Source organism: Homo sapiens, chromosome 1, assembly GCF_000001405.40.
Source record: "Homo sapiens chromosome 1, GRCh38.p14 Primary Assembly".
Lineage (NCBI taxonomy): Eukaryota > Metazoa > Chordata > Mammalia > Primates > Hominidae > Homo > Homo sapiens.
Window position 1 is genome coordinate 10,267,107 of NC_000001.11, and position 22,947 is coordinate 10,290,053.

Sequence of the window (22,947 nt, forward strand, 5' to 3'; positions counted from 1 at the left end):
TCCCAGGTACAGGCGATTTCTCCTGCCTTAGCCTCCTGAGTAGCTGAGACTACAGGCATGTGCCACCACGCCTGGCTCCTTTTTGTATTTTTGGTAGAGACGGGATTTCACCATGTTGGCCAGACTGGTCTCGAACTCGTAGTTCGAGTGATCTCAAGTGATCCGCCCTCCTTGGCCTCCCAAAGTGCTGGGATTACAGGCGTGAGCCACCGCGCCCGGCTTCTGTATGTGATTTCTTTTTCACTCTAATTCACTTTACTAATTTGTTCATAGGTGAGCTACATGGAAATTTACTGTGAAAGAGTACGAGATTTGCTGAATCCAAAAAACAAGGGTAATTTGCGTGTGCGTGAACACCCACTTCTTGGACCCTATGTGGAGGATCTGTCCAAGTTGGCAGTTACTTCCTACACAGACATTGCTGACCTCATGGATGCTGGGAACAAAGCCAGGTATGGTAGGAAATAGAGTAATGACTGAGGTCTTTGGCACCTTTTGAGGTCCTTTTTTCCCAGTTAAGGGTTTGAGGCCACATTTATAGCTATGAAAGTTGCTTTAATTGTGGAGTCCTCTGATCCTTTGACTGTGCTGTAACAGTGAGGGCTTCAGAGTGTTAAGTATCTTCTCATCTAAACAGTACATTGCTGAAACATGTTAGAGCTCTCATTGAGTTTTACTCTTAGGTTTTGATCAAGTCATGGTAAAATGTTAGTTATCATGTATATATGCGGCTGTGGTAGTAATTGATTCTGGAATAAATGAGCACCAATAAAGAATAAAAATTAAATGCTTCATTGGTTTCTAAAGGGATAGCTGGAGTATGAAAAATGATTCTGATGGGGTGCCTTTGGAATTGGAGAGTAACTTGATGGGCTCACAAATAAGGCAGTATTGAGAGCAATTGTGTAAGTGACAATCTTGCAATCTGTGAATAAGTTTAAGACTATTGCTTGTGATTGTTATGCTTATAATGTGGAGCCTGCTGTCCATTTCAACTCTCATCTAAGAATTCCCTTGTCACGTGGTCACCTTTATGTTTATTTAGGACAGTGGCAGCTACAAACATGAATGAAACAAGTAGCCGTTCCCACGCTGTGTTTACGATTGTTTTCACCCAGAAGAAACACGATAATGAGACCAACCTTTCCACTGAGAAGGTAGGAGAGTTTCAGTCTCTAGGCTTGAGTTGTGAAGGATGGAGATTTTGAGAAGTCCCTTTTGTTGCCCTCTGCTTTTTGTGGAAGGTTGGGTGTTGGGGGGTGCTCTTTTACTTAATGGAGGGTGTTTTATACCTCTGCTTATCATTTTTCTTCCACCCTACACCAGTTTTCTGTATAGGTTCTTAAATGAAGTTGTAAGATAGAGAATAGGGTTAAGAAAAAAACAATCCAGGACTTTGGGTCTCAAAAACTACTCAATACAAGACAGTTAAGCAGTCTTGCAGGAGAAAGTTCTTTCTTTTCTTCTTCTTGACTGAACCTTTTTATTACCTTATTAGCTGCCTTTGGTATGTGTATTCTTTTTTTTTTTTTTTTTGAGCTATGATAATGTTATAGTGGGATTAAATGTTTAAGCAAATGATATGTTTCATTCCTGGAAAATAACTCCACAACAGTTCTGGTGTTCTTCAAATACCTTTCTTTGCTTATTGATTTTTCATTTTCTATAGTGGTTAAATGTCACAGACTTTAGCGTTGGATTGCTTGCTTTGAATTCTGATTCTGCCACTCTTCAGCTATATTACTTTGGGCAAACTACTTAACCTCTTTGTTCCTCAGTTTCCCCATCCATAACAGCCTGATAGGATTGTTAAAAAGATTAAGCGTTAATATAGGTTAAGTGCATACAATAATGTCTGGCACAGAGTAGCCACTCAATAATGTTAATTTTATTGTTATTGTTAGTAATAAAAAATTTATGTTGAATACTACTCTATCTGCATCCCTAAGAAGGATGCACCTGGATTTTTAAGCTTCAAGTTAGGTTTATTGTACTGGCAATTATAAAAGATCCTTTGCCTTATAAAATGAGTACTTTAGACACCACTGTCACTAATTATTAAAATCACCTTTTATTTGTTGACTTATTTCTAGCTGAAAATGATTTTTAAAAATATACTCCTGCTGGGCCGGGTATGGTGGCTCACACCTGTAATCCCAGCACTGTGGGAGGCCAAGGCAGACAGATCAAGAGGTCAGGAGTTTGGGACCAGCCTGGCCAGCATGGTGAAACCCAGTCTCTACTAAAAATATAAAAAAATTGGCTGTGCGTGGTGGCATGCGCCTGTGGTCCCAGCTGCTCAGGAGGCTGAGGCAGGAGAATCGCTTGAACCCAGGAGGTGGAGGTTGCAGTGAGCCAAGATCGTGCCATTGCACTCCAGCATGGGTGACAGAGCGAGACTCTGTCTCAAAAAAAAAAAAAAACACACTCCTACTGGGCATGGTGGCTCACACCTGTAATCCAAGCACTTTGGGAGGCTGAGGCGGGTGGATCACCTGAGGTCAGGAGTTCGAGACCAGCCTGGTCAACATGGTGAAACCCAGTCTCTACTAAAAATACAAAAAATTAGCCGGTCATGGTGTGTGCCGGTAATCCTAGCTACTCCAGAGGCTGAGGCAGGAGAATCGCTTGAACCTGGGAGGCAGAGGTTGCAGTTGGCTGAGGTTGCGCCATTGCACTTCAGCCTGGGTAACAAGAGCGAAACTTCGTCTCAAAAAATATATATATATTTCTTATATAGATGATCAAATAACTTGTTTAGCCAGAGGTTATAATATTAGTGCTATTTATTAGTTAGTGTTTATCTGAATGCCAGCAAAGAACATTGTATGTGAAGGTGTTTTTTGCCCTTCTCCCATGATGTCGAATCTACAAAATTAATGTTAATCCCATAATCATAGCTTTCCTGGTAATTCATTTTGGATACTTTTGTCTAAACTTTCCTGAAGCTTTATTTTTTTACAGTGTTATTGAGGTATTATTGAAGTATACAGTAAATGGCACATATTTAAAGCGTAAAATTTGGTCAGTTTTGACGTATTTGTATACCTGTGAAACTAGCGCCACAATCCAGATAATGATAATTTTTATTCTCAAAAGTTGCCTCATATCTCTTTGTAGTCTTTCTCTATCCCTTCTTCTGTGGCAATTCCCGGGCAATTCCGGACCTGCCCTTTTGTCACTATATATTAATTTACATTTTCTAGAATTTTATATAAATGGAATCATAGAGTATGTACTGTTTTTTGTCTGGAGTCTTTCACTTAGCATAGTGATTTTGAGATTCATCTATGTTGTTGTGTTTATCAATAGTTCCTTTTCATTGTTGATGAGTATTGCGTTATACAGATACACCACAGTTTATTAATTCAACTGTTGATGGACTTTTAAACTGTTGCCAGTTTTTGATTATTACAAACGAAGCTGATGTGAACATTTGTGTACAAGTCTTTGTGTGGACATTTGTTTTTGTTCTGTTGGTAAATACTTAGGAGTAGGATGATTGAGTCTTATTGTAGCTCCTTAAGAAATGTCAAGGCTGGGCACGGTGGCTCACGCCTGTACTCCCAGCACCATGGGAGGCTGAGGCGGGTGGATCACAAGGTCAGGAGTTTGAGACCAGCCTGGTCAACATGGTGAAACCCCGTCTCTACTAAAAATACAAAAAAAATTAGCTGGGCGTGGTGGTGGGCGCCTGTAAGCTCAGCTACTCGGGAGGCTGAGGTGGGAGAATCGTTTGAACCCAGGAGGTGGAGGTTGCAGTGAGCCAAGATTGCACCATTGCATTCCAGCCTGGGTGACAGAGCGAGACTCTGTCTCAAAAAAAAAAAAAAAAGGAAAGAAAATAAATGTCAAATTGTTTTCCAAAGTGATTGTACCATTTTACATTCCCACCAGAAATATGTGATTGTTCCAGTTGCTTAAAGCTTCACTTTTAGTAAGCCATTTAATGAGTTGATGAGTTTTATATATTTTTATAACATACTCTAGTAAATTATGTCATGTTTATCCTAAAGTTACTTTTTTTTGAACCGTGATAATTGCTATGAATTTTGTGCATGCTCTTTTTTTTTTTAATTAAAAAAAATTTTTTTTTAGAGACACAAGGGTGTTATATGTTGCCAGGCTGGAGTGCAGCAGACAGCTTTGAACTCCTGGGCTCAAAGGAGCTTCCTGAGTAGCTGGGACTACAGGCATGTGCCATTGCACCTGCCGTGTGTACTGTTTAAACTAACTGATAGATGTTGTCTTGATCTTTTTGTGCCATATTTAAAAGCTCTAATACTTTTAGTTTTTTCCATACCTTAATCTTTTAAAAAGCATTCTGCCTCTAAATATTTCCTGCTTCTATCTTGCTTATTTTTGAATTGCCCCCATGTTATTGTTCTTTATCAGGTCAGTAAAATCAGCTTGGTGGATCTAGCAGGAAGTGAACGAGCTGATTCAACTGGTGCCAAAGGGACTCGATTAAAGGTATTTATTTTAGCAAATAAATGGCCTGATCAATAAATGGCCACTACCTGTTTTTGTAAATAAAATTTTATTGAAACACAGCTACATACATTTGTTTATGTATTGTCTATGGCTGCTTTTGCACTACAATGGCAGTGTTGTGACAGAGACCGTATGGCCCAGAAAACCTAAAATAATTTGTGTCTGTCCTTCTACGGAAAAATTTTGCTGACTCCTGATCTGTAACTTCAATGGAAGGATAAGTTATCTAACTAAATAGTTAGGGAGCACATCATAGTCAGGGTGAGAGTTGAATTGCATTTTAAGGAACAGGTAGAATTTGGCTAGATGGAATTAAGAGATGGCAGTGGGAATAGGATATACAAGATTCAGATGTGAGAACAGAAATTTCATGTCGATAAGTTGAGGGAAGAAGGCTGCACACATCTGTAAGCTTTTGGAGCACAAATATCTCGAAGATACTTCAGGACTGTGAGTTAGGCATGTGGTCTCAGCATGTTATTATCAAGTGGAAAAGAGGACAGATGGAGGACTAAAGGTTGTTTTTAGAACTTGTAATAAAGAAATATGCTAGCATATGGCAAATCATATTTTATGTTCTGTATGATATAGCAGTAGTAGAAATTCTTCATCATTCTTTCATATTTGGTATTTATTTTAGGAAGGAGCAAATATTAATAAGTCTCTTACAACTTTGGGCAAAGTCATTTCAGCCTTGGCCGAGGTGGTAAGTTTTATACTTCATTATAAGGGGAGTTGTGTCTGTTCAGCAAATATACTTGATGATATTTTATTATTGTTTATGAAGGCTGTCTTTTTGTGGCCCTTTTCTGTAATCTTGCCTTTCTCCTTTTAGAGCTTTTCAGATAAGATACTAGGTATAACACAGTTTGACTTTGTACTGAAAGTAAAAGATACTAAGGAGAACAAAAGTAAATATAGATCTGTAAAAACTAGAGCAAACACTGAAGGTTTGACTCATTTTTTTGAGCCTTATTTTATGTTTCTCACAAAAACCAAGTATATTTATTGTCTCTTCTTTTCCTGTATAATCTTTTCTGAGTAAGATGCAGTATCTTTTGGAGTATTTTGAGCAGTTTGGCTTTGGTGAATGCTGTTGATTTGAGGGCCAGTAGTTTTTTTTTTTTTTTTCCCCCAATAGTTTTGTTCTTTCCTACTCCTTTATGGTAGAACAGTAAAACTAAAACTATTTTTTTTAAATTAGGGGCTTTGTTGTCTACATTATTTAAATTAGTCATTGTGTGTTCTAGTTTAGTTTAAAACCTCTTTTTAATTGCTAAGAAGAATGAAATGCTTTCTTGCTTGCCTTGGAGAAATCATAATCTATGACATGAAATTTAAACAAAATCTAATTTTCTACTTGGAGGCTTATCCTGTGTTCTTATTTTCTCCTTTAAATGCTTTCACCTGTAGGATAACTGCACTAGCAAGGTACAGTGGGGATTGGTAGAGATAAACTAGAATTGACTTTTATGTTTTAAATCCTCACTAGGATGTATGGAGGCATAAGTAGGAATGGAACCTTCAAAAATCTTTTCATCATTTGTTCTCTGGCTCTGGAATTTAGAGTGGCTGTAAATTTAGGGTGACCACAAATCATGAGGTTTCACACCAAAATTAATTTCTAGAACATGATATGCTTTGGAGAAGGAATTAAGAATAAAGGAACAAGGCCGAGCATGGTGGCTCATGCCTGTAATCCCAGCACTTTGGGAGGCCAAGGCGGGCGGATCATTTGAGGTCAGAAGTTTGAGACCAGTCTGGCCAACATGGTGAAACTCTGTCTCTACTAAAAATACAAAAATTAGCTGGGTGTGGTAGCGCGTGCCCATAGTGTCCCAACTATTCACGGGTTTTAAACTGAAGTTTTAGGCCTCAAGGATTACATAGTGGAGTGAAAGTTTGTTCCACTAATCTGAATGACTGAAAGGCTTAATTCTCCCTTGAGGTCTGTGCAATCTAAAATTGAACCTGCTATTGGAAATGACTTTCTGATTGGTGGATTGTGTGTCTGTGGGTAGAGTGGAATGAGATGATGATGATGTGGACATATTTAATAAGAGATGGAATTAAAATGTTTCTTGCCTACTCCCTTTCCTCCTCCTCCTCAAAAAAAAAAAAAAAAAAAAAAAAAAAAAACCCAACAAACACCACAAGACTAGCCACTAAGAGGCCAGCCATGTAGTACCCTTTTTCTGAATAGAAAAAGTGCTTGTGCAATAGTAGGATCATCCTTAGTTTAACCTTGGATTATACCAGGACTGAATTATAAAACTGCTGATTTGCTGGAGTGGTGTTTAGCAGTGAGACCCTGGCTTTCTCCTTAGTAGCTTCTTTTTTTTTTTTTTTTTTTGGAGACCAGGTCTCTCACTGCTGCCCAGGCTGGGGTACAGTGGCACGATCTCGGCTCAGTGCAACCTCCACCTTCTGGGTTCAAGCGATTGTCCTGCCTCAGCCTCCCAAGTAGCTGAGATTACAGGTGCCCGCCACCACCCCCGGCTAATTTTTTGTATTTTTAGTAGAGATGGGGTTTCATCACGTTGGCCAGGCTGGTCTCGAACTCCTGACCTCAAGTGATCCACCCACCTCGGCCTCCCAAAGTACTGGGATTACAGGCATGAGCCACTGTGCCCGGCCTCCCCTTAATATCTTCTTAAAGTGTCACAACGCAGTAGTCAGCCAGCATATATTTGAGTAGCTGTTACCTGTAAAGCATTTGCATTAATTTTTACTTTTAGAGAATATAATTTTTTTTCATTTAAGCACTGCCTTTTCATTGGTGCTTTTTGCTTTGTCCTGTGGTAATAAGAAGGATCATGAAGAAAGCAGAATAAGTAGACTTAATAGAACATTCATCTTTCTAAATTACCAAATCATATCTCTTTCTTAGACCTTTTTACTTTTAGTCTTTGCTTTAATAATTGGATTATTTTTGGCATAATTTCCTTTCAAAGAGACCAAATAAATATTATTTTACAAGAGTTACTAGATTTGCAACAACCCAACCAATGACATGGTGGTTGGCCAAGTAAATTCACTAACTAGATGACTTGCTCCTACACATCCAACCTGGAATGCACAAGATTAGTATTTTCCCCTGTGCAAAAATAAAAATTGAGGATGGGGTATTTGATGATGTTAGGGAATTATTGTTTATTTAATGCACAAGATTAGTATTTTCCCCTGTGCAAAAATAAAAATTGAGGATGGGGTATTTGATGATGTTAGGGAATTATTGTTTATTTTGGTAAGTGTGATAATGGTCCTGTGGTGTTTTGTTTTGTTTTTAAAAAACATGACCTTTTCCTTCACAGTAAGAAAAAGGATAAAAAATGATATGGACAGGATATTAGGTAATAGTATTGTGTTGATGTTTAATTTTTTGAATTTGGTCATTGTTTTCTGTGTAAGAGAATGTTCTTATATGCTGAAGTGTTTAGGGGTAAATGGAGATGAGGTCCGCAACTGACTTCAAAATGGGTCAGGAAAATAAGTTGTAGAAAAGTGTTTGGGGGATAATTGAAAGATGATTGGCAGAGTATTTTGGTAATGGTTGAAGCTGCACGTTGGGTATGGTAGCTCATTATACTGCTCTCTCAACTGTTGTGTATATTACACAGTTTTCAAAATAAAATGTAAAATGAAAAAATTACCTTGTTGCGTGAGTTTTTGGTTTTGTGAAGAATTGAAACTATGAATGATAAACTTCCACAGTGTCGGGGTTGTACTGTAATTTAATTTACTTGGGAATTTTAGACTGATTTGCCTTTCTTGGGAATTTTTTTCCCTAACGAAAAATGCTAAGACCATTTCTTTTCCTTTAATAGAGTAAAAAGAAGAAGAAAACAGATTTTATTCCCTACAGGGATTCTGTACTTACTTGGCTCCTTCGAGAAAATTTAGGTATGTTGACCACTAGTGAAAAGTAGTTATCTTTTTAACTTTGATTATCTTTTGTGGTTAATTGTCCTGTGTCTGTTTTGGAGACAAATAATCTCTAGATATTCATGTTACTACTTGAGTGTTCCTTGCCTGCTTTCATTTTTACTCCTAATTTCAGTTGGTTGGATTCCCTTGGTTTTAAGCCAGGGTATACTCCCATATCTCATTTTCTTCAGGGCATGAACTGTGCAGTAGTTGTCCTCCCGACTCCCCATACTTGCTTCAGATTATTGCTCTTTCTTCGAAGTTATTTCAAAACTCCATGCTTCTCTGAGGTGCACAAAATTAGACATTGCCAACCCTTAATCCTCCTCGTTGCTGATGTTTTCAGACCTTCAAATCACTGTTCTTCATTCACTTCTCCTACTTTTTTTTTTTTTTTGAGATGGAGTTCGTGCTGTTGCCCAGGCTGGAGTGCGGTGGTGCAATCTTGGCTCACTGCAGCCTCCGCCTCCTGGGTTCAAGCAGTTCTCCTGCCTCAGCCTCCCGAGTAGCTGGGATTACAGACACACACCACCTTGCCCAGCTAATTTTTTTGTACTTTTAGTAGAGACAGGGTTTTGCCATGTTGGCCAGGCTGGTCTCGAACTCCTGACCTCTGGTGATCCGCCCACCTGGGTGAAAGAGTGAGACTCCCTCTCAAAAAAAAAATAAAAGAAAGAAATTTGACATTACATTAAATCTTAGGATCTGAGATTACAATATCAGATTTGACACATTCCATAAAATTTTTCTTCTAAAATGAGTGTGATTTGATACTCATGATTAATCTTTTTAGGTGGCAATTCTCGGACTGCAATGGTTGCTGCTCTGAGCCCCGCGGATATCAACTACGATGAGACTTTGAGCACTCTGAGGTACTTTCTTTTGATCTCAGTAACAACATAGACCACATTGCCATCAGAAGCCATTTTGTGATACCATGGATGTTTTTATGCTATCTGGGTAGTTATTTATGTAAATAATGTTCCTTTCCTCTCATAACAGGGAAAACTTAGGGAAAAAGTGATTTGTATTATAATAGAATTTACCTCTTTATGGTTTTCAGTTTCACTGGGAAAGATATGAACTTTTTATTTTTTTATCCCTCATGGATACCTAGATAAGGCAGGAGCTTTTTCATAGGAAAGATTTTTAAATTGCTCAAGTGAGATTTTTGGGTAACTTTTAGGTAATAGTGACATTTTCTTATTCATTTCTATAAAAAGAAGTGTCCCCCTTCTTGTAGTGTTTGTCGTTATAGAAATGCTGAAGTCGGCCAGGCGCAGTGGCCCCCACCTGTAATCCCAGCACTTTGGGTGGCCGAGGTGGGCGGATCACTTGAGGTCAGGAGTTTGAGACCAGCCTGGCCAACATGATGAAACCCCATCTCTACTAAAAATACAAAAATGAGTCGGGCGTGGTGCCATGCACCTGTAATCCTAGCTACTCAGGAGGCTGAGGCAGGAGAATTGCTTGAACCTGGGAGGCGGAGGTTGCAGTGAGCCGAGATGGCGCCACTGCACTCCAGCCTGGAGACAGAGCGAGACTCCATCTCAAAAAAAAAAAAAAATAAATTCTGAAGTCATAATAAGTAATAAAATTATAGGAATATGTAGCAATATTAAAAAATTACCAACATAGCCAGGTGCAGTGGTGTGCACCTGTAGTCCTAGCTACTTGGAAAGCTGAGGCAGGAGGATCACTTGAGCACAGGAGTTTGAGGCCAGCCCAGGCAACGTAGTGAGACTCTGTCTCTTAAAAAAAAAAAAAGAAAAAAACAATTACCAACAGAATGTTCATAAAAAGTTTTTTTTGTTTGTTAGTTTTTGTTTTTGAGTCTTGCTATGTGGCCCAAGCTGGAGTGCAGTGGCAAGATTGTAGCTCGCTGCAGCCTCAGACACCTGGGCTCGTGTGATTCTCCTACTTCAGCCTCTCAAGTAGCTAAAACTATAGGTGCATGCCACTAGGCCTGGCTAATTTTTAAAAATTTCTTGTAGAGATGGGGGGTCTTGTTAGGTTACTCAGGCTGGTTTCAAATTCCTGGCCTCAAGTGATCCTCCCCACTTGGCCTCCTAAAGTGTTGGGATTACAGGTGTGAGCTGCCTCCCGAGGCCTGTATTTTTTTATGTATGAGTAGGTTTCATTACTTTAGTCTGGAACTCTCTACCCTTCTTCCATGAAAGACACTTGATGTAATGGAATAAACACTATACAGTCTCATAAGTTGGGTTTAAGTCCTCTCGCTGTTATTTCCATTGTGATCTTGGGCAAATCACTTAAATTCATCTGAGCCTTTTTCTTCATCTTTAATAGGTACTATAAAGCTTTATACAAATGTATTATTATCAAGGCTCATAAAATGTAAACACTCAGGATATTTGATTTAGAGATAATAGTATGTTACTTATGAGAAGTAGAACATATGAGAAATGACAAGAACAAATTTTCTTTTTGGATCTAGATATGCAGATCGTGCAAAACAAATTAAATGCAATGCTGTTATCAATGAGGACCCCAATGCCAAACTGGTTCGTGAATTAAAGGAGGAGGTGACACGGCTGAAGGACCTTCTTCGTGCTCAGGGCCTGGGAGATATTATTGATAGTAAGTGAATTAAGGATCGTTACAAAATCTAATCCTTTCTTCTTCAGGGTTCTTATTCAGCGTTCTTATATTTAAAATAAACTTCAAGTTAAGGAGCATGATGAAGCTAAATGGTAGTGAAAATGTTTTGTTTTGTTTTGTTTTCTTTTTCCTTAAAAAACCCAATGGAAATGATCTCTAGATTCCTTTATGTAATGTGTACCAGACTATCCATTTGAACTCAGGAAATTAGTTTTAAATCGCAAATATGTCACTAGTATTTTTGTTAGAATTCTGTTTTAGATCAGCAATGAAGTTTATTTGGAACGTTAAACCTGTTATCACTGAGCAATTAATTACTTCATAGAAATGTTATTTGAAATTTTGAGTTTTGTTTCATGGGTTGCTCTGGATTAGTGTCGTGGCAGTAATATAAGAAACGCACCATTCAAGCCTACCTTCAGATAAGATTCACCTTTGAATGGCCCCCTCCTCCTGTAAAATGCTGGAGTGCCCCGTGCTGCCTATGAACATATGAAGGGGAAAAGTTCAATTCCTATGAAGTTCAAGAACTACACTTCCAGAGAGTATTGTTTTACAATGTTGTATTAAAATTTATCTTAAAAAATCTCCGTGATGTGCCTATCCAGTGGCTTATTCAGAAGTTCTCTTAAGTGAGTAAAATGGATTCATATAGGAATAGAATATGGTAGAATATGGGTTAGTTTAGTAAAGCATTTTTTTTTAGTGTAAAGTTAAACTTATATTCCTTGAAGTTCTAATAAGATTTTCAAGGCCTCTTCTAGTTTAATTCTTCTTATTGATTAGAGTCCGAGTTTAGATGAATACCGTTTGTAAAAATGATACCGTATTCTAAGTATTAACTTTTCCATCTCCCCAAATGCCAAAAACTGCTCTGTTCCCTCTCTGTGTCACTGCTGAACCTGAACTTTGACCCTTCTCGTATTTTCCCTCCTGCTTACCTTCAGTTGATCCATTGATCGATGATTACTCTGGAAGTGGAAGCAAATGTGTGTATTTCACATATTGGTTATTTCCAGTACTCTGACTTGCTAATCTGCCTCTGCTGGATCAGCCTTAAAATAAGCTTTGCATGCTGGCAATCCTTACAGGGAAATCCCAGACAGAGCATAGTATAGAATCAGAAATGATCCTATTTTTGCCCTTCTTCATTTAGCAAACTAATCTTTGCTGAATTTCAGTTTGTGGCTTGAGTGAAGTTGAAAGGCTTAAGAATCTCTTGCTGCTTCTACTCTTCAGTTTTTCCCATTGTGATTCAATTAAATCCAAAAATCATAGATGATAGCAACTGACACTTACTGATTTTGCATAATATGCCAGGCCCTATTCTAGGCACCTTGAATATATTGTCCCTTTTAATTCTGTTAATGGCTCTGAAAATATTTTATTATGTTCCTTTTACCAATAATCATTTTTAGTCAGCAAAACTATCTATGATTTAAGAGCTCTGTAGATGTTGGGCTAAGACTCATGAGTGCTTGTGCTAAGTTGCTTTTCTCCATAACTTGGGCCTCGGAATGATTAGATAAACGTTTTTTCCTTTTTTTTTTTTTTTTTTTTTTTTTTTAGACAGTCTCACTCTTGTCACCCAAGCTGGAGTGTAATGACATGATCGTGGCCCACTGTAACCTTGAACTCTTGGGCTCAAGTGATCTTTCCAGCTCAGCCTCCTGAGTATCTGAGACTACAGTTGTTCGCTGCCACACCTGGCTAATTTTTTAATTTTTTATTTGTAGAGGTGAGGGGTCTCGCTGTGTTTCCCAGGCTGGTCTGGAACCCCTGACCTCAAGCAGTCCTCCTGCCTCGGCCTTCCAAAGTGCTAGGATTATAGATGTCAGCCACCACACCCAACCATTCCTCTTTTCATAAGTCACAAATTAAAATAACTTAGGTGTCTAAAATGACTCAAACATTTTTAAAGAGTCACATGAACCTCATTATTCTCTCCACATATATCTTAAGTTGGTGAGGAAATTATTTCTTACCCTTTTAAGGTAATTCATCAAGAAATTGTTATCTTAGAAGAAAAATGTCTTGATTTTGGGGCTAATTTTTAGATTTGTACTGAGTTATTTCTTTTTTTTTCTTTTTTCTTTTCTTTTTTGAGATGGAGTCTTGCTTTGTCGCTAGGCTGGAGTTCAGTGGCGGAATCTCGGCTCACTGCAACTTCCGCTGCCTGGGTTCAAGCGATTTCTCCTGCCTCAGCCTCCCGAGTAGCTGGGACTATAGGTGCGCACCACCACGCCCAGCTTATTTTTATATTTTTAATAGAGATGGGGTTTCATCATGTTAGCCAGGATGGTCTCAATCTCTTGACCTCGTGATCCTCCTGCCTTGGCCTCCCAAAGTGCTGGCATTACAGGTGTGAGCCATCAAGCCCAGCCACCTGAGTTGCTTATTTCTACAGTAAGGCATGTAATGAGGCTTGGCAGACAGTGAGAAAATGCATAGGAGAAACCAAACATAGCCCTGGCTGTGGTTATGAGGTTAGGGCTTAAAGGCACTATAATGTCCTGATACAGAAGTGACTCTTGGACTGCAACAGCTCTGTCTGAGATTTCCAAAGCTCAACGATACTGGTGTGGAAAAGGTGCCTTCTTCTTTTTGCTTTTGTGCTCAAGGTGTTGCTGCTGCCAGCTTGTTGCCTACCTCTTTTCTTAGCAGCTGCGGCATTTCCTGAAAGACCATGCATGACTAAGTTTTAATTCTGTATTCCTGAGGGAAAGCAGCCCTGACTCCTTCTCAGTTTCCATTTTGATCTATTTCTCTTTATTCCTTTTAGGGCTTGCATGTGACCATTGGACCTAAACTCTGTCCATCCTGGTCTTTTCTCCCAATGGCTAATTTTTTGCTCTAATCCCTATCCCCCTTTTAAAAGATGCCTCTTTGCTTGTTGCCCTATGTTCTGTATTTGCAGATGGTGGTTTTCAAACTGTCTTGAAGCAACCACTGGCTTTAAGGGAGTTAAAAAACTGGCTTTAATTAAATAGTAGAGATGAGTAAGCCCAGGGAGAACTAATAGTATTTTTTTCCAGCTATGTGTATTGACTCATCTCCTTTGAGGAAAACTGACTTAGTTTTGATATGAATTTTAGTTTCTCAGGTTTAAAAATAAGCTAATTTTAAAGTTGGATTGCACCAATACTTAAGATTTACCTTTGGTATCTTTTTGCAAAGGATGACTAATGAAAGAAAGTAATGAAAGAAAGTACAAACAGCAAATTAATTAATTTTGTTGTTTGTGGCTTAATTTTTTTTTCTTTTACCAATACTGAGTGTAAAAGCAAAATTAACAGTTCTATTAAAGACTTAGTAAATGGAAGTATGTTCCTAAAACTTGCATTTTATACTAGGAAGCAGGCTTAGCAGTGACCCATGGTTGTACTGTTAGGCTAATTAAGGGCCTTAAATTAGCAAATAATCAGCCTTATTTTTTGCTTGCTCTGACAGAAGAATGGAACCTGCACTAAAACTCATTAATCTGCTAATTGTTCTTCCCTGTTGAGGCAATCAATTAGTCCTGAGTTTTTAACCAGGACTTATACAAAATTCCTCTCATTTCTATAATTACCCCTTTTTTATTTAAGACATATTAAAAATCCTTTTAGCATGTTGAAATGTTGCCATACAAAGCATACTACTCAGTGCACAAATTTTGTTTTAACTGTAACATTTTCTTGGAAATTTTTGCTGAATTACACGTAACACTGAGCCAGACCAATATGGATTATTATTGATAAATAAATGATCATTGTTTTCCCTTACTGTTACAAACTACTGGAAAAGTGTAAATCTGAAGACATTGTAGACTAGGAACACTAGAAAGACTAAATGGAAGGTAGTTTGGCTTTTTTAGGGAGAGTGCCTAAGCAGTATCCTTTGAGGCTCTGGTTTATCCCCCTGCGAGATACAGCGTTAACCTACATTGGAATCTTTTAGTTTGTAAATGCAGAAATGATTCTGAACCTGTAGGATACCACTATTAAAGACAGACATGTTTTAGAACTGCCATCTAGAACAGTTGTAACCTGTGTTTGTATTATAGCGTGTCTTGGTCTTGGCGCTTTAATGCTGTCCTTTCTTACAACGATATTCCTTCCTGTCTTTTTTTCTTCCTCTGCTTCTTTCCCTTTTCCCTACTTTTCCTGCCTTCTCTTCTTTCTATCTCCCAGATCTGAAAGATTTTCAGAACAATAAGCATAGATACTTGCTAGCCTCTGAGAATCAACGCCCTGGCCATTTTTCCACAGCATCCATGGGGTCCCTCACTTCATCCCCATCTTCCTGCTCACTCAGTAGTCAGGTGGGCTTGACGTCTGTGACCAGTATTCAAGAGAGGATCATGTCTACACCTGGAGGAGAGGAAGCTATTGAACGTTTAAAGGTAAGTAATAGTTCAGACTGAATACAAGGTATTCTATGTAGCTCCACAAGGAAGAACTAGGAGTAAAAATCACTAAGATTTCGACTCAGCATATGGAGAACTCTTTGACTCTTAGAAGTGTCCTGAAAATTGAATTTTGTGCTTTGTAAGTTAATTTCTTTTCATTAGAATGCCTGAGTCTGACATGGCCAGGCAGAGTTGGGAGAAGTGCATGGGCAGTTCATAGGCTGGCAAGGCAGAGTAACAGATTAATAGATGTGTACGTTAATTCTGGGATAGTACATCAAGTTACAGTGTAATTGTTTTGTTAGAAATTTATTTGGAAACGTGGTTTCATTGAAAGATGGAATTCTGTGTAGAGCCATGCTTCTGTTAATAAAGATGAAGTTTGGGCCGGGTGCAGTGGCTCACGCCTGTAATCCCAGCACTTTGGGAGGCCGAGGCGGGGTGGATCACGAGGTCAGGAGATCAAGACCATCCTGGCTAACACGGTGAGACCCTGTCTCTACTAAAAATACAAAAAATTAGCCGGGCGTGGTGGCGGGCACCTGTAGTCCCAGCTACTCCTGAGGCTGAGGCAGGAGAATGGCATGAACCCAGGAGGCGGAGCTTGCAGTGAGCCGAGATCGTGCCACTGCATTCCAGCCTGGGGGACACAGTGAGACTCCGTCTCAAAAAAAAAAAAAAAAAAAAAAAAAGATAAAGTTAGAACATTTGAGTAGCTGTTCCAGGTTTATTCAGATAGTTATTAAATTATATCTTCTAGAAGTTCACAGAAAGCCTTGATGCCCTATGATTACTGTACAGGAAGGTTATCTCCTCCTATGCTGGTACCCATGGGGTCACAGGGCCATAGTGCTGCATGTATGCAGATTACTGGCCTATGGCTCCCAGCTTTGCTGTTGGAGGTATTTCCCAGCCCCTTGCTGGCTCTGTCAGGTTCGATCTTATCTCTTTGTATGAATATGAAAGTTAAGAGCAGCAGAGCCTTCTGACTCATAGCTGCTTCTCTTCCTCCTCAATTAATTCAGTGCACAGACAGTTGTCACCTGCAGTGCTGAAAGCTGTTCAGGAATCCTGCCACCCATCAGATGACTGTGACAGCATCATCTGCTTTGAAGCAAATATTTTTTCTTTCCCTACTTGTCACCTCCAGGAAGATAGTTTGACCCATACCTTTTAGCCATTGTGTTCAAGAGTGCTAGGGTAGGGGACACAGGGAGGACAAAAAACACTTTTTAAGAGTCTGAGAAGTTGCAGTCATGCTGCCAGCCAGCAGTCTTCTTCACAGTCACTTGGTATTCCCCTTGACTGCCATTCATGCAAGGACGATAGAGAACAGTGACACATTGACACATTTAATAGGTAAAAGGCTTGCCGAAAAACTCTTTAACACTAAAGTGAATTAAGCTTGATAATTGAATATGTCAGATGCTTTCATTTTAATTTTCATGTGAGGCTGAAAAAGATTTTATATGAAGAAAGAGGTTCTGCTTTTTCTTTCTTAATCAGCCTACCTTTTCCCTTGACATTTTACTTACTTCAAAAGTACAGTGTGGGCCGGGCATGGTGGCTCACACCTGTAAACCCAGTACTTTGGGAGGCTGAGGCAGGAGGATCATTTTAGCTCAGGAGTTTAAGGCTGCAGTGAGCTGTGATTGTACTGCTGCACTCCAGCCTGAGTGACAGAGCAAGACTCTATCTCAAAAAAACATGCTTTAGAAACAAAAATAAGGCCGGGCACGGTAGCTCACACCTGTAATTCCAGCACTTTGGGAGGCCAAGGTGGGCGGATCATCTGAGGTCAGGAGTTCAAGACCCGCTTGGCCAACAGTGAAACCCCATCTCTACTAAAAATACAAAAAAATTAAGCCGGGCTTAGTGGCTCATGCCTGTAATCCCAGCACTTTGGGAGGCTGAGGCAGGCAGATCACTTAAGGTCAGGAGTTCAAGACCAGCCTGGCCAACATGGTGAAACCCCATCTCAACTAAAAATAAGAAAATTAGCCAAGCATGGTGGCACACGCCTGTAATCCCAGCTGCTTGGAGGGTGAGGCACAAGAATCACTTGAACTTGGGAGGCGGAGGTTGCACAGCCTGGAGATTGCGCCATTGCATTCCAGTCTGGGCGGCAGAGTGAGACTCTGTCTCAAAAAATAAATAAATAAAAATAGAAAAATTAGCCGGCCATGGTGACGTGCATCTATAGTCCCAGCCACTCGGGAAGCTGAGGCAGGAGAATCCCTTGAACCCAGGAGGCGGAGGTTACAGTGAGCTAAGATTGCGCCAATGCCCTCCAGCCTGGGCAACAGAGTGAGACTCCATCTCAAAAAAAAAACAAAAACAAAAATAATGTGCTTGTTTCTTCCTTCAGAACATGTAAGTGGAAAGTGAGTGAAGTTCTGCAACACCTAGCAAAGGGAGAAGGAGTGAGAAATCTTTCCATTAAATGTTGTAGGCTGCAGGGTAACTTTTACTGTTGGTAAAATTGACTTTGAAATTTTACTAAAGACCTTAGTGAAGAGGAGTGGTAAGACTCCATTCACACATTTTCTCACAATAGGCGTCAGTGACCATGTTGCTTTGCAGGGCTCTTTTCAGAGCCAGAGTGAGAAATAGGGAGCTCCTTGGGAATGAGAAGTAAAACTCCCACTTACTGAGTCCTTAATATAAAATGTTCTTTTTCTTTGGGGATCTTAAGTCTTAACTATTTGCTTATTAAAGCCTTAGCTCTTACACTTGAGATTACCCTTTCCTTTGACCTTCCTCTTGATGTAAAGGAGAAATTTCTCCCTAACTGCCAAGTGGGACCAATTGAAAATAATGTCACATGTTAGGAGTCAAGACATTAACCAGACTCTTCAAGATTCAGGTAACCCAGTGTCTTCCAAATAATTTCTAGGGAATAACACTGTCATTATTCAGGGAACTCTCCTTCCGACTTCCCTATGTCCCACTAAAGCAAGACAAAACTGTATTACTTCAATCAGAAAACAAATTTCTCTGTTTTAATTCTTCCTTACGCCAAAATAAAGAACTCTTCTGTTTTCCCTAGTTTTATTCTAGAAAGAAAACAGCTTCCTTAGTGTTTTGTGTTGTCTTGAGTTTTTAATGCAGTGTGGTAGTTCACTGAAGCATAAGCACCTTAGTTCTGCTCTTATTTTGTGAATGGTGAGAATTTCTTTCGGGCAGACCTGCATTTTAATGCTGCACGCAGATAACATCTTTCATCCGTAGCGCCAGGGCAATGGTTGTGCAGTAGAAATGCTTGAGAATATCTAGGAACTGGGTTCCTAAGGCATGGTGCTGCAGGAGAAAAATATTATAATGGAAAACAGCAATAGAGGAGGTTAGTTTATTTTCCTAACATTTTATTTCCCTTTGTTTCTTTTTGACTTTAAAAAAGGTCAGTTGATTGGATACTGTTTTTACACATGATGTTGCTGTGGCTTTGTTCACTGAATAGCCTTTTTCCATATGTTAGGTACTCATGTCACACCATTGTAAAGATGTTTTTTTTTTTTGAGACAGAGTCTTGCTCTGTTGCCCAGGCTGGAGTGCAGTGACGCGATCTCGGCTCACTGCAACCTCCGCCTCCCAGGTTCAAGCAACTCTCCTGCCTCAGCCTTCTGAGAAGCTGGGATTACAGGCATGTACCACCACATCTGGCTAATTTTTGTATTTTTAGTAGAGACGGGGTTTCGCCATGTTGGCCAGGCTGGTCTCAAACTTCTGACTACAGGTGATCTGCCTGCCTCGGCCTCCCAAAGTGCTGGGATTACAAGCATGAGCCACCATGCCAGGTCTTCCTGTCAAATAAGGTTTTAAACATGCAGCTGTAGCCACAGCTCTCGTGTTTATTAGTCTGGCATCACAGTCAGTACTGTGAGTGCCGTTGCTTAGGCTTAGCCTATAAATATCCACAAATATCCATTACAGAAGCAGGCAAGGGCAAATGCTGTGCTAAGCAGCCCAAGGGCCACATTTGGAACCCACTTAGGAAGCATGCTATGTTCAGTACAGTAAAACCTTGGTGATTCAATGGCTTCAACAAATGTTCTGTGTAGTAAGTGTTTTTCATGGAAATATTTCTGACTTGTCCTGGTGATTTCTGTGTTTCCTTAACTGAATCATCATCAAGAAGAGATTAAATTGTTTAGCTATATGAACATAATTTATTAACCAGTGCTATACAAATAACTAGAGATGCAGACAGATATGACGTGAGACCAAAGAGTGAATGACACCTGAGCCTGGCATTCCTCGGAGCTTAAAGAAGAGTTCCTGGTGTCCCTCTGTTTTTTGGAATTTTTTTTTTTTCAAAGAAAGGGAGGAGGATTAAAGATTTATCTCCTCAACCCCTCATTTCTGAACCATGAATCCACATTTCAAGTTCATCTTACATTAGGCCCCTAGAGTGGGGTATGGGAAGCCCTGGACACCAGCATGCCTGCCTGCCAGCAGAATGAGTTGATGCTCCTGAGACTGAATGCTGTTTTGCACTTGGCTTCCCTATTTATACTAAGTTTGCTACTCAGGCTTGAACAGAATATCCTTCACTTTTTCTTAACTTAGGGTGAACTGTTTCATAGAACATTTACTTGAAAGCCTATTGATCCTGTTTTATTTGAAGAAAGAACAGTGAGTCAGCAAATAGCTCTAGACCTGTCTCAGTGAGTAGTGTGGGCTCACTTAGCTTCTCTGGTCTGTTGGAACACAGTGGCACCATCTTGGCTCAGTGCAACCTCTGCCTTCCAGGTTCAAGCGAATCTCCTGCTTCAGCCTCCCAAGTAACTGGGACTACAGGTGCGTGCCACTGTGCCCGGCTAATTTTCGTATTTTTAGTAGAGATGGGGTTTCACCATGTGAGCCAGCTGATCTTGAACTCTTGTCTCTGGTCCAGTTTTCTTATCTCGTGAATGGTTCCAGAATAAACGATTTTGCAGGCTTTTTTCAGCCCTGAAGTTGTGCTAATGTGACTCACAGTTATTATTTTCTCTAAGTTTCCCCCAAAGTTTTTAAAAATAGCTTTCTAGACAACCTAAAAATTGCAGCTGAAAACTGTAATAAAAATAAAAGTTGTACCTTACTCATTAAATCTCTTTTCTGCAAAGAGATCATGTTCTGATTTACCCTTCAGTTGGTAAGTAAAATTAGATAAGTCATATTAGAGTTGGCTGCAAAATGGTAAGAGGATTCCTAGACAGTAATTTTGCTTTCTTAGAGTGAGTTCTACAGTTGCCCCAAAATAGGATGGCTTTAATATGACTAGATAATCCTCTGCTCTGAAATAACCTTTTTCTGAAGGTAATCAACTAGGAAGAAATATTTTTAAAATATCTCATATGTCAGTTTGTATTCCATAATCAACAGTGGTTTATTGTGGTTAGTACTATAATAAGTACTAGTCAAGATGCCTTGTTTAGGTCGGGTGCATCCTGTTGTCCTGTCTGTTGAAGGTTTTCACTTTGAGAAGATTGTATAGATTTCTACCCAGCTATCTTTAATAGACCTTAAAATTATGTAGGTTATATCATCAGCTTGTCTTGTATTTGCCTATTTAAAATCATATGCAGGGTGGGGCTGGGAGGAAAAGAAAAAAAAGGAAAAAAGCAGTCATATGCAAAAGCATTTTCTTTTTTTAAAGAGGGGCTCACTGTGTTGCTCAGGCTGGAGTGTAGTGGTGCAGTCATAGCTCACTTATGCAGAAGCGTTTAACACCACTCTTAGTGGTTGTTGAATAACTTTTGTGGTGCTTTATAGATAAACTATTGAAAACTTGGTTCTTGGCCTTCTCACTCCTTAGGGAATTGTGTGGATTTGTCTTGCTCGCTGGCCCTCTAGTATGACACTTTTGTTCTCCATTTGTGGGGCGGCATGTGCACTGCATGGTAATCATTTCTGCTGAGGACTGTGTAGAGATGCCATTCAGGTAGCTGTTTTAGCCTTTGAGCCTCTGTGTGTGTTCTGAAGCCTAATGAGAGCCATTTCAGGTGGTTTTTGTCACTTGCCACCCCCAACTGCAGACTTGTTCTAGCTTCTTCCACCTTGTAAGTATAACTCTTTTCTGAAAAAGTACCTCCTACATGGCTGCCTTACTGATGCCCAGGTTCCTTCTTTAATCTGTTTTGCTCTTTGCCTACCTTTGCTGGTTGTTGTTGTTCTTCATCTTTCTCTTTTTTTTAAATTTTATTTTAAATCATACCCTCCTATTTGTTCCACCAAACTCATATACTACTTTGCTTTTGCAGCTGCTGCTTTGAATCTTTACTCTTGCTTTTTTCACGTGTTCCCTTGCCTTGCCTTTGGTATGTTTTTTGTTTTGAGGTGACATCCAGTCATGTAATATTCTGGAAGTCCAAGAGATCCAGAAAGTCAAACACTAGACAACTTAAGGTTTATTACTCACAAGTCCTTTCTGTGTAGATATTTACGTTTTGGGGTCACAGGCTTCGTTAGTAACCTGTTATCATATGAATCATACATTGAAGTGTTTGATGAACTATAACACTTTTCCTTGTTAATCACTACTAGCATCATTACTATATTTCATTATCATCATCTGACTTTCTTACTTCATCTCCATGACCAGCATTTTCACCTGTTTTGGCATGTGCTCGTCCCCCTTTTTTGTACTCCTTTTCCTTCCATTCTTTGCCTAATTGCTACTTGTCCTTCATTTCTCTGTCTGGGCCTCACTCAGCCTTGATTCACCCATGTTACAGAGACCTGTGAATACTCCAGTTCTAGCTCTTAGTACACTGTTCTCTTATCTCCTACTGTATTCGTTCTCAGTCCTCAGACATGCTGCTCTAGCAACACATTATTCCTAGAAAACTCCAGGTACTTTCCCACTCTCAGCATACCCACATGGCAGCTTCTGCTCTTCTTTGATCTCTGCTCACATATCACTGAGTCTGTGAGGCCTGTCCTGACAACCTCACTTTAGATTGCTCCCTCACCTACCCTTCCCCATGTGTTCTTTCCTCTTGTTGCTTTATTTTTGTCTGGAGCACTTGCCACTATCTGACATACTGTGTACTTATTGATTAAAATGGATTATATCATGGCGGGGCACGGTGGCTCACACCTGTAATCCCAGCACTTTGGGAGGCTGAAGCGGGCCGATCACCTGAGGTCAGGAGTTCAAGACCAGCCTGACCAATATGGTGAAACCTCATATCTACTAAAAATACAAAAACTTGCCGGACATAGTGGTGTGCACCTGCAGTGCCAGCTACTCAGGAGGCTGGGACAGGAGAATCGCTTGAACCTGGGAGGTGGAAGTTGCAGTGAGCCGAGATCGCACCACTGTACGCTAGCCTGGATGACAGAATGAGACTCTGTCTCAAACAGACAAACAAACAAACAAACAAAATAAATAATAGGATTATATCAGTCTCCTTACTACAATGTAAATCTTATGAAGGCAGAGATTTTGTTCTCTGACATATCCATAGGTGCCTTGAAGAAGGCTTGATATGTAATGGGGTTGTATATAAGTATTGAATGAATAAATC

General features: G+C 39.7%; 1 protein-coding gene across 5 annotated transcripts in view, besides 2 other annotated features; it reads left to right on the top strand.

Annotated features, from left to right (window-relative positions):
* Positions 1-22,947, top strand: part of KIF1B (kinesin family member 1B) — a 171,034-nt gene that overhangs the window by 56,537 nt on the left and 91,550 nt on the right. For 3 of the 5 annotated variants that reach the window (NM_183416.4, NM_015074.3, NM_001365953.1), the window contains exons 6-13: positions 274-452; positions 1,046-1,157; positions 4,396-4,473; positions 5,135-5,200; positions 8,322-8,397; positions 9,215-9,293; positions 10,880-11,022; positions 15,294-15,427. In NM_183416.4, the coding sequence (NP_904325.2) occupies positions 274-452; positions 1,046-1,157; positions 4,396-4,473; positions 5,135-5,200; positions 8,322-8,397; positions 9,215-9,293; positions 10,880-11,022; positions 15,294-15,427 (867 nt within the window). Of the gene's footprint in view, positions 1-273; positions 453-1,045; positions 1,158-4,395; positions 4,474-5,134; positions 5,201-5,907; positions 5,926-8,321; positions 8,398-9,214; positions 9,294-10,879; positions 11,023-11,990; positions 12,033-15,215; positions 15,428-22,947 lie in introns of all 5 variants that reach the window. The other 2 variants (NM_001365951.3, NM_001365952.1) reach the window with 1 other exon arrangement.
* Positions 12,051-12,251: a silencer, noted in NCBI's record as "peak66 fragment used in MPRA reporter construct". NCBI's record gives its function as "represses an SCP1 promoter by STARR-seq MPRAs in K562 erythroleukemia cells {active_cell/tissue: K562}" and the evidence as "EXISTENCE:reporter gene assay evidence [ECO:0000049][PMID:32103011]".
* Positions 16,207-16,256: an enhancer, noted in NCBI's record as "active region_145". NCBI's record gives its function as "activates an Ori minimal core promoter by ATAC-STARR-seq in GM12878 lymphoblastoid cells {active_cell/tissue: GM12878}" and the evidence as "EXISTENCE:reporter gene assay evidence [ECO:0000049][PMID:35858748]".